The sequence below is a fragment of the Homo sapiens genome, chromosome 5 (genome assembly GCF_000001405.40).
Source record: "Homo sapiens chromosome 5, GRCh38.p14 Primary Assembly".
In the NCBI taxonomy this organism is placed as follows: Eukaryota; Metazoa; Chordata; class Mammalia; order Primates; family Hominidae; genus Homo; species Homo sapiens.
In genome coordinates, this window is record NC_000005.10 from 22,465,996 (window position 1) to 22,478,457 (window position 12,462).

The window sequence follows — 12,462 nt, forward strand, 5'->3', positions numbered from 1 at the left end:
TTCCTTCCCATGGGTTACAGGATCTCAATAATCAGCCTCTTGCCTACTCCTGGGGCACGGCTTTTATTCTTATCTAAATTCACTCTAAGTAAGTGGCCATCTTACTTTTTCTCTAACCTGCTGATCTTTTTCTTGCTTTAGGGTCTGGAAACATTTCCATCTCCAGCCCTTGGCCAGATGTTGATAACCCTCCTTCCTGAGCCCTATGCTTTAGAAGACCCTGATGATCACAAATTAAAACAGAAAATGTTTCTTTTCTCCTTCGGAATAACAGGAGTTGTTTTGTTTGTTTGTTTTTTGTTTGCTTGTTTGTTTTCAGTTTTTAAAAGCTCAGTAACCCAATGGGGCACATATGTTTATGGGCCAGTGATCGCCCCAAAGCTGAACTGGGATGTACAGACCAAAGCTTGTAAGTCTGAAAGAGCAAAAAAGGTGAGTATGTATGATTGGGTTTGGGTTTGTGTAAGTGTATATGAGCGAGTGTATGGCTGAGTGCAATGAAAGTGTGTAAGAGTATGTGAGACTCTGCGTTTGTGCAGGTGTGTGCACTTTTGCACACGTGTGTAGGAGTAAAGGCAAAAAGGAGAAAACCACAGGCTCTGGAGTGATAAACCAGAAAAAAGAGGAGGCTGCGGTTTCCATTTGTTTACCCCAAATCCCTCAACTATGTATGTAGTAAAACTTATTTTCTGACCTCTGCTAGGTTTTTGTCACTTTACAGACATTTACAACTTTTTGCAAATTCTGAGTGGGAAAAATGAGGCATGGCTCCTCAGGAATCTTTTTTTTTTTTTTTTTTTTTTTTTTTTTTTGAGACGTTGTCTTGCTCTGTCACCAGGCTGGAGTGCAATGGCGCAGTCTCGGCTCACTGCAACCTCTGCCTCCCGGGTTCAAGCAATTCTTCTGCCTCAGTCTCCCGAGTAGCTGGGACTACAGGCACGTGCCGCCAAGGCCTGCTAATTTTTGTATTTTTAGTAGACACGGGGTTTCACCATGTTGGCCAGGATGGTCTGGATCTCGACCTCGTGATCCGCCCACCTCGGCCTCTCAAATTGCTGGGATTACAAGCGTGAGCCACCGTGCCCGGCCTGCTCCCTGGGAATCTTGATTGGATAGCCCAGGCTCAGGAGAGTTCTGTGTTTGATCTTGATCCCCACAGATCCAGGCTGCCCCTAAGCCTCATACTGGCATGAGATGAGTATAGAATTGGAACCTTGACAGCCCGTGAGCATGAATTCTGTTAAAATTTTAACTGTTTAGCGAGATGACATGTTGCTCTCCATTTGTACTCTTACATCAGGTGCCTGGCATGTGAGAGGATGGCCTGTCAAGAATCCCCCCATCTGAAAGCAATTCTTCTGGGCTATCATCTCCCGTGGCTTGTTCAAATCCACTTAATGTTCCTTCCAATGGACTTCCATGATGAAATCAACTAAGAGTTCTCTTCCCACATCCTGTCACTCTCTGTCTGCATACTTTGCATTACATTCATTTTCAGTCACCTCTACCTGCAATATATTTTAATATTTTGTTAAAGAGTTCATTTTCCATCTCTTGCACTCGAATATGGGCTTAATGAGGGGAGGGACTTGGTCTTTCTTGTTTACACCATTCATCAGTGCTTAGAATAATATCTGGCACATAGTAGTTGTTCAATAAATATTGGTTGAATGAAATAAAACAATGGATATAATTTCTAAGTGCATGTAATATCTAATATTATGTCTAAAGAACATCTAATGACTAAATATAACCAGTCTGTGTAACCAGTTTCACCCATCCCTGAAATCAATTTTATCAAAGATCACCAGATCCACCTACTAAGTTATTGATGGGATCATGACTCTTTTTCCTCTGAAAATTTGCAGAAATTTTATTTTGTTTTATTTAGGTTTCTAAACAAATCATCAAATCATCTGTAATGATTCATAAGATTCTTAATGCTTTGATAGAAAAGGTCCCCTTCCTTAGTCTGATGTTCTGGGCCTCCAAAATTTAGATTAGAATTTCCTGATTTCAGCCTTAGTCTTCTGGATACTTGCAGTTAAAATGGTTTTGCTTCATCTGTGAATGAGGACCCAATACCCCCACCAGTGAAAGCTCTACTCTCAGGCAAGCACAGGATCTCCCAGGGAGAAGAGTCTTTGGTTCTTTTGAACAACTGGGAAGTACATGCCAGCTTCACAGAACTAAAGTAATTGGTATCTAAATGGCTCTTCAGCATATTCAACCTGTGTGATTTTGTCACCATATAACCATCCTTACACAAAGAGAACACTCAATACATACATGACTCTCCAACATATCTTTACATTCCTCACTTTAAGGACATATAACTATTAATTGCATAATCATGCATCTCTTTCAAAATTATATATTCAATAATGTGGCTTCTCTATTCTTTATTGATAGACACACTAAAATAGTTAAATAACACAAAAATGCCTCATTTGGCAGGTAATTCACTCCTTAAATACAATATTCAGTTTTTGGAAAGCTCAGTAAGAATTCTCAATAGTTACAACTAATAAATGATATACCAGTCCCCTTCTTGAGAATAGCATTTATTTGACTTTTATAAAAACATTGTATACTAAGTAGTTCTCCATAGCTTTGTTTTACTTACCTATAGTGTTTTTAGTAATATGTATACTGGTTTGAACCTATAAAACATTTTTATCTTAATTATTGTTAATTTTATGTAAAATTTATAATAAAATGTTTCATCCAATAAATAATTTATATAAGTAGATACAGCTATTGTCATATGGACTCAACTATATAACTAGAAAAAGACATAAATGTGGTTTTTAGATAGATACAGATATACACACTCCCATATCCTCTCAAAAGTGCTGAAGTGTTTATAATGTCTAACATATTGGAAGTAATTAGAATAATCTCACATGATACACTTTCTATGTTCCTTTCACACAATTGAATATTTTTAACTGTTTACATTGCTGATTTACTTCTAGTAAATTACATATTCCCTAACTTACTTGAGGATTAGGGTTACCTGTGGTACTTAATAAATGTTCTAATTCTTGGGCCCCAATTCAGATCACCTTAATCAGAATATTTTGAGGGTGAGGGGCTGGAAAAATTATCATCATCAAGAAGGTAGACAAAACCACTGCTCCTGCATAGCACATGCCACCACAGAGCACCTCAAAGTATACTCTCCACCAAGTGAAGAGCAAACAAATATTTTTCAACTAAAATTTGAATGGTTCTTGTTTATGTTTGCTAGGACTGCCATAGAAAGTAGAATAAACTAAGTGACTTAAACAACAAATTTATTGTATCACAGTTCTGGAGGCTAGAAGTCCAAAAGCAAAGTGTTGGCAGGTTGGTTTCTTCTGAGGAATGTGAAGGAAAGATGTGTTCTGGGCCTCTCTCCTTCTCTTGTAGAAAGCTGTCTTCTCCCTGTATCTTTTAAAATCACCTTCCAGTTAAATCATACATCTATGTATGCATGTGTCCGAATACCCTCTTCTTATAGGTATACAAGCCATATTGCATTAAGGCTCACTCCAGTGACTATTTTAACTTGACTCCTTTGCTCAATAAAGACCTTATTTCCAAATAAGGTGGCATTCTGAGGTACTGGGGCATTAGAACCTCAACAGATAAATGAGGGAAGGTTTACTTCAACCTGTAACAGGTTCAATGGCAGTCATTTTCCAGTGTTATCTATACTGACTTTTAGTGGTGTATATTCTCCTGTCATATTTTTTCTCAACTTTCTTCCTTTACCATTCATTATAGGGAAATCATGAATGTGCAGCAGCTGATGATGGGACCAAAGTCAATGTGTCCAAACACTCTCCTTGGTAGGAAACACAAAAGTCCTTACTGTGCAATCTCATAGCAAAGTTTCTAATATTTTCCTGCCAGAACTTCAGGATAATTCCTCAAAGCCCTGCAATGTTTATCCTTTCACATTTGACATAAGTAAGTCTGCATGTCTTTTTTCTTCTTCTTCTTTTTGGGAAAATATCAAGAACTCTTAAGACAAGAAAATGAAATCTGCTGAGTTAACCCTGGCAGAGGTGAAAAGTCAAAGATGAAGAGCAGCCTTCTGGTGTAGAAACTTTTGTCTTGATGAATAATTGATGGGCACTGAGAGCACAATTTGCTGCTTCTAAGCATGCAGCCCTGACATGGTATGGCATAGGAATCTTGAGGGTAAAAGGATTCTTACTTTATAAGCAAACATCTTGAGAATCAATATTAGATTCTGAAGTTTTCTTATGTAGTTGGCTTAAAAGAAGAATGGATTATGAAGGTTAGGAAGCCATTTTCTTATAAATGTAGCTGTACTCCCATTATTGAGACTTAAAATTTTTAGTTTTTTTCTCCTTATTTTTCCATTTAATGAATGATTGTTACAATTATTTTTATTTTATTTTATTTTATTTATTTTATTTTTGGTAGAAACAGGGTCTCACTGTTTGTTGCTCAGGCTGGAAAACAGTGGCGTGATCATAGCTCACTGCAGCCTGGAACTCCTGAGCTCAAGCAATCTCCCCGCATCAGCCTTCTGATTAGCTAGGACTACAGGCACATGCCACCCTGCCTGGTTAAGTTTTAAAAAATTTTTGTAGAGATAAGGTCTTGCTATGTTTCCCAGGCTGTTGTTGAACTCCCAGTGTCAAGTGCTCTTACGTAAGCCTCCCAAAGTGCTGGCATTACAAGCATGAGCCACCTTGCCCAGTCTTCTTTTCTATTTTATAAGGTAGATGATAGTCATCAGATTAATTGGTAGATATGAAGCTATAATATCTATATATTAAAGCTTTTCAGTGTAGGGCACTTCTGAGCCCTTTTTTTTCCATCATACTCTCCTGGCAAAACCTTAGCGCTTTTTTTTTTTTTTCTTCAACACTCCTGCTACTCTGCACCCGTATCTGAAAAACTAAATTTGTGTGGAGAAAAACAATGATCATGGTGAATATTCTTATTTTTAATTTAAGGGCATGTCCAAGAAGTGGACCCTTAATGCTACCTGGAATCCAGCTAGATTTCTCTAATCAATTCCCTCTCTCACTTTCAAAGGAGAGAAATCCACAACTCTTTTCTTGTCAAGCTTCTAGGATAATCTCTTTCTCGGTTGATGAACTTACTCCTAGTTCCCTAGAAAACAGGAAGCATTCAGGAGAAAAATTGCACCTGTTCTTTCAACACCCAATGAACAATCTCCCTAAAGGTATGAATGTTCTCCTAACACGTGGGTGTTCTGCCAACAACCAATCGACAAGCTCTCTGCAGGTTTGTATGTATATGCATTTCTGCACCTTGCTTCCTATTAAGATTTTTCATTCTCTTCTCTAATTTCAGTACCTCACTGTCCCTTCTGCATGAGATCATGTAATCTCTGTCCTACTCAAACACTCTTACAATAGCCTTCCATATTCCATTCATCATTGTTTTGTTTACTTTCTACTGACTCATTATTGTAAATATAAAAATATTTTGCAATACTATCTCCTATCTTAAAATATTTTCTTGATCCCCCATTTCCACTCCACATACAAGGCTACATTTGTTTCAACATTTGATAAAACTTCCATGGGGGGAAAAAACTGTATCTTCTGTCTCCAATTCAATCTTTGGTCATTTCCTCTGGAATAAATTCCAAATAATATTTTATCCCCATTCCTCAGGTTAGGGTCTGTTCAAGGTTACCAATGACTTCACATGGCTACCAGTTCTCAGTCTTTGCCTTGCTCTAACAGCACCATATGACACAAATCAGTGACTCCTATTTTCTTGTTTCCTTTATTTAGTTGACAGAACACCCTAATCTCTTATTTTTCAACTTTGTAGATTATTTTACTCCAGATTGTGTTGCTGGATCTGTTAAAGAAATAGTTCTTCTGGCTTTTGTTAAAATGCTAAGGAAGACTTTATTCAAGAGAAGTGAGATCATGCTCAATTCTGGACTCAGAAAAGGCACCTGAAGATTTATAGTCAAGGAGAACAGTAAGAAGGTCACTGGGTAGAAAATTACTGAGAGGAGACACCCAGGGTAAGGGAATTCTTTCTAAACCAACTGAATCAGATTCTTACTGAAGCAGGTGAAGGACTGATATGTCAAGGGTGGAAGACTAGAAACATTATCACATATCAGGGGTAATCAGATACTATGGGTGGGAGTATTCTTCCTAAATTAGTTTAAAAAATTCTTATTAAGTCAGAGCTTGGCAGGCTAAAGACAGGAAAGAAGTAAGGTCAAGGCCTAGTCAAAAAGAATGCCCAGAGAAGCCTGACTAAACTTTAGTCAATGAGAGAGTTTTTGCTAGCTGCCATTCATTTTTACAAAGTTCTGAGTTTTAGAATGCCCTAAGGATGAGTCTGCAGATCCTTCCTCTTCTCTCTCTAAATTTACTTCCTTAGCTGAGTTGATCCAGGACTGTGACTGTCAGTGCCAACTATATTCTTCCAATTTCCACTTTTTAATTTCTAACCTGAACACTTTGACTAAACCTCAGACATGGATATCCAAATGGTTGCTAGACGTGTTAAGCTGGATTTCTTGTAGGAATTTAAATGCTAATATTTCCAAACTCTAACTCCAGATCTTCTACTCAAAACCAGCATCTCTGGCTTCTATGTTTTTTCTCTCAAAAAAAAATCTATTATACTGTGGAATTATCCTAGATACATCTCTATTTTATTCTCACATCCATTCTATTGAACCCTTGTAACTTTCTCTTCAAAATAGACCCAAAATTTTACCACACCCAGAAACATGATCTAGGTTTATGGTATCTTGAACTGCTATTGAGATGGTTACATCAGCCATCTACCAAGTCTTCCTATTTCCACATTTGTCTTCATGTAAAATATTCTTTATTCAGGAACCAGGGACATCCTTTTAAAATGCAAGTCATATAACATTCCCCCTTTGCTCAATGGCCTTCAATAACTTTCCATTTTACAAGGATCTGTGGAATAAAAAACTCATTACCATGACCTTTGAGGCCCTACTTGATCTGTCCCTAGAATTCTTCATCCTCAGCTACTCCTGAAATTTTTTCCTTCCTTCTTTACTGTGTTTTGGCCACAATGGCTAATGAGCTTTGGGCATTCCATGATTACTCCCACATCTGTGCCTTTGCACTGGATATTTGCTCTTACAAATATTGTTCCTCAATTTTGAATATGACTCAATTTCTCACTTAAACCACATCTCTGCTAACATAAAAATTTATTAAAAAGCCTTTCCCGAACTCCCCATATAAAGAGATCTCCATTCTGCTGCATCACTCTTTATATACTTACACTGACTTATATTCTTTATAAAATTTAAAGCACCTATTAACACACACTACATGTATTAAATATTATCTCTCTACTCTAAGTTAAATTACGAAAGGTATTTTGACTTTTTTAACTGCTATATTCCAACACTCTAAAGCTTTCATGGTAAGTATAAAACATATTTATTGAATGAATAAAAGTGCCTAAAGCACTCACCTTAGTTTAATATTTTCTATTTTGTAAAGTATATGTGAAGCATGGGGATAAAAACCCTTATGAATGATGATATAGAAGTAATGTTATTAAAATGGTAGAAAGAAGATGGTATAAAGCTAGGCCCAATTTTTATTAATTGCAAAAAATTTGAACAAAACTTTAATTTTGTAGGTGTGTCCTTAGTTTTAAAAGGTAAGTAAAGTCCTAACTAATGTGATCACATTTATCATAGCCTTTCTAAATTACTATAATATGTGGATTTTATTTTTGTGAATTTCTAAGGTTTATAAATGGTAAGGCTGATATAGTGTAAATTGATATATATAGTGTAATGGAAAATCGGACTGACATTTCTCAGTGTCAACCTGTCTCCTTCTCAATAACATTATCTCAAAAAGTTGGGTTGAAATTCAATCTGAGTATAGAATAAAACCCTCTAAATTTGAAGAGAAAAATGCCCTGAGACATAGATAATTTGAATAACTGGCCCAATGTGATACAACCATTAAATGATGAAACAATAGATGATGAAATACATGATGAAGCAAAAGCTCATCTTCTTACATAACACAGAGTATTGCCAGAGAGTTGGTCCATTTAACTAAGAATTTAGTAATGAGTCACAAGGTATGATGTGATACTGCAGAGGATTACTTATTTTCTTTCACGAATATTTCCTGAAAAACAGAGAAGGATGTAATAATGCTGATGACTTCGTCAGAGAGTGAAGTGGCTGCAGGTTAGTTACAAAGAAATGAATGATGACTGCAGCTGGGTCCCAAAGGAAAAGCCAAGAACTGTATTTTCAAATAATTGTAGCAGATCACCTGGACACATGGACTGATGGAGGAAGACACATGATGTCAGGGGAGTCAACCAAGAAAAACTGCAGAAATTAGACCACAGTGAATGATTCTCATCGGAGTGGCATGATCAAGAATAAAGAAATAAATCCAACTGAGTTCTGAAAGAAATGGATAACTGAGTGGTCAAATAGACAGCAATAGAAACTACTCATGAGAAACTCCATAGGTGATTGTTAACATTAGAGTAAATCAATAGTAAAGGAGAATATTGGAAAGGGAATTAATCTGGTAGAGTTATGGTGATGAACAATGATTATTTCCATTGTGAATGTGTAATTAAGTGGATACACATGACCAGAGAGACAGATAGCCTTAGCAGAGGAAAACTAAGATGATGCATAATACATCAGGTTATTAATGGTCATATACAATACATAGATCAGAATGTGGATATTGATCATCACAGAGAAACGTCTTTCAATTTTTGTTTTGTTTACATGCATTATTGTAGAAAGCTGTCCCCAAAGCAGGTCCAACTCTCATATTTTCAGGAACCAAGCCATAGTACAAATAAAGAATCACATAGAATATTTCTCATTAGTAATAATTAATGAACCAAACTAACAAATTATTACATACATTCTATTCTCCTATTTTTGACAAACCTTTATAACAGCTCTGAAGTCCAGGTTAGATAGATGAGGTCCCATCTCTACTACTAAGCAAAATCCTGGAAGCAAGTCCTGAATGGTTGACTAGAGGGGGTGTTTGCATATCTAGTAGGCACTTTGTCTTGAATTCTGGAACTCATCCCCTCTTGGCAAGAGGTGGAACCAGGGAACATTCTGAGCAGGGAAGAAGACCCTCATCCTTGAATCTCAAAGTCATATTGTCCAAATGGATGGCCCCAAAATGCTTATAGCATTTCTAGTTGGGTGAAATGATCTAGAATGATTGTAAATGTCTTATTTATACTATTGTGAATTACTTGAATTTTCTTCGGGAAATGTTTTAAGTCTATACTTCAAATGAAAATGCATGCATTTTATAATTACTAAAGAAAAAATAACTAACCGATTAATAGGAAATGATTTAATATACCCTTTCTGGGTCTGTAATTTATATTTTAGGTGAAAGGTATTAGAATATGTGAAAGTATTTAACAATATAAAAGAAAATAAAAATATTGACTATATTAATATAAATACATTTCCAGCAGAAGGGATGCACCACGATACTGAATTTAACAATAAGAATATAGTTTCTATTTCATATTAGAGTCACTAGGATTCTAATTGCAATGCAAGTGAAGTTAAATCTATTACATTATATAAAAGTAAACTATATCCTATAATGCAAAATCACTAGACTTCTTTCCTTTGAACTTTTTCATTCAGCTTTCCCCAAAACCTTTTTTCTTCCAAAACTAAGAAATTGCATTTTAATCTTTAAAAACATATATTATAGTTGAAAAGAAATCAGTAACTTTAATCTTTCCCAAGAAACAAGATATTCTAAATGCAAATTTTGAATTACTTTTAAATACTCGAAACTGTATTAGCTGTAATTTACCTGGCCTTTCAAAAACAAGATTTCATAAATCACTCACAAAATTTTCTAGAGATTATTTTTTTCTTTGAACCATCTATATACTAATAAAAACTAGTAATGAGAAACTGCCTTCCATCTAAATGCTAAATCCTCTGCTAGTATATTTTATGAAAAAATGTAAGCATTCACCTGTATAATTGCTTTCCAAATTATTCCTCCCTTCATGTAACTATTCTACTTTTCTGTTTTTATATGAATTTGAGCTAAAATGATGTTGACATTTTATGTATTTATCACTGTCACTATCAGCTATCTACTTACCCTGTTTGGAAATTCTGCTTATTTTTCATTAACGTTGATATTAATTTCAGTATAATTCTATACTTAGGCAAACAGATTGGTAATTCATACATATCTGAATTTTTAAAATTGTAGCTATATAAATAACCTGATCTTGATGCATTTAAGATAAGTTAAGGAATTAAACCAAATTATATGTTTTATTGTTTATTGAATGGTACACATCATTCATATTAAATAGTACAATTAAATTGATGTTAAGAAATGATTAATCTATATTAAACATAAAATTCACATTTTAGGAAACTTATGGGTATCACACATTTTGTGCAGTAATCAGGTCTCCTCCTTTTTCTCCCAAATTAATAAATCAGGAACACCATTAATGAAATTTCTATGAAATCCCTCACAATCCTGCTACCCTTCTCTCTATTGCTGCTGACTACATAGTATTGTCGTAAATTATTAAATTGAGTATAAATGATATTACCTCATCTTACATGTAACCAATATATTTATTTGTATAAAATACTACTCAAAGTAATGTTAATATATTGAAGTGACTGTTCTAAAAATTGTCTATAGATTTATCTTGTAATTGGTGTACCAAAATTGTATACAGTATTTATATAATATTCACTATATAGGGTGAACTATACTCGATATTTGAATTTTAGAGTCAATTATAGATTATACAATATCTGATATCAAGTGGATTCCAAACTACAGAGTCCCAATCACACATCTTTTACCTATTTTTATAACTGAGGAAGCTGGTAGGCACACAGTGGTGGAGTTACCATACTGAGGTGGATTGTGGTGATTTACCAAAAATCTGCCCCAAGGCCCATCAATAGGCCTTTTTTCTTGTAACTGGAGAATTATTAGGCTTTATCCACGTATCTCAACGGTTATACACACGCATACACAAAAAACACCCTACTGTTTATGTTTTCTTAACTTTAAGTTCAGGAGTACAAGTGCAGGTTTGTTACATAGGTAAACTTGTGTCATGGGGTTTTGTTGTACAGATTATTTCATCAGCAAGATATTAACCCTAGTTAATCTAAAACCCCTTAGACGTTTTCCCAATGCTTTCCCTCCTCTCACCTTTCACCCTCCAAAAAGTCCCAGCCTGTGTCCTTCCCCTCTATATGTTCTCATCATTTAGCCCCTACTTGTAAGTGAGAACATGTGGTTTTTGGTTTTCTGTTAGTGTGTTAGTTTGCTAAAGATAATGGCATCTAGCTCCATCCATGTTCCTACAAAGGATATGATCTCATTTTCTTTTATGGCTGCGTAGTATTTCATGGTGTATATGTACCACATTTTCTTTGCCTGGTCTATCATTGATGGACACTTAGGTTGATTCCATGTCTTTGCTATTGTGGATAGTACTGCAATGAACGTATGCATGCATGAGTCTATGATACAATGATTTATATTCCTTTTGGCATATACTCAGTAATGGGATTGCTGGGTCAAATGGTACTTCTATCTTTAGGTCTTTGAGGAGCCACTACAGTGTCTTCCACAATGGCCCTACTCTTCATACAGTTAATAACACTATTGGACTACCCTCACTGCTAAAAAGCAAAACAACAATGAAAAGCGGCCAACAACAAAAACCTCATGAGCAATAAGGACGCTTAGGATTCCAACTCTTTCACCTACACTGATTACAATAAATGGTGCTGTACAGCTTTTGCTAAAGTGTAACATCTTATGTCACATCCACAAACCTACTCTGGTGAAGAAACTTAGTTCTCTGAGAATGATAAAAATGAGTTAACCTTTCCATTATCAGTTGTGTCTCGTGGCATTTTCTAAATAAGATCAGGTTACTTTAAACATAAAAAGGCACTTTTAATCCAAGTAGGGGATTAGACTCATTATATATTCCCTGAGAAAGTCAGTATTTGGTAACATGTTCTAAGCAAGGGAGGAATCCTATTTAAATGGAAATTTTATTGTTAATTTTTTTGAATATTGAAAAATAGGCCAGGCACGGTGGCTCACGCCTGTAATCCCAGCACTTTGGGAGGCCGAGGCGGGTGGATCATGAGGTCAGGAGATCGAGACCATCCTGGCTAACACCGTGAAACTCCGTCTCTACTAAATATACAAAAAATAAGCCGGGCGAGGTGGCGGGCGCCTGTAGTCCCAGCTACTCGGGAGGCTGAGGCAGGAGAATGGCGTGAACCTGGGAGGCGGAGCTTTCAGTGAGCAGAGACCGCGCCACTGCCCTCCAGCCTGGGCGACAGAGCGAGACTCCGTCTCAAAAAAAAAAAAAAAAAAAAGAAAGAAATAATTTTCAGTT

The 12,462-nt window shown here is 35.9% G+C and overlaps 1 protein-coding gene across 5 annotated transcripts in view, besides 1 other annotated feature; it reads right to left on the minus strand.

Moving 5' to 3' along the window:
• Positions 1–12,462, minus strand: part of CDH12 (cadherin 12) — a 1,102,672-nt gene that overhangs the window by 715,323 nt on the left and 374,887 nt on the right. The gene's annotated exons all lie outside the window — the stretch shown is intronic.
• Positions 7,703–8,902: an enhancer, noted in NCBI's record as "MED14-independent group 3 enhancer chr5:22473807-22475006 (GRCh37/hg19 assembly coordinates)". NCBI's record gives its function as "activates an origin of replication core promoter dependent on BRD2, BRD4, P300/CBP and CDK7 cofactors, and independent of MED14, by STARR-seq in HCT116 cells {active_cell/tissue: HCT116}" and the evidence as "EXISTENCE:reporter gene assay evidence [ECO:0000049][PMID:35650434]".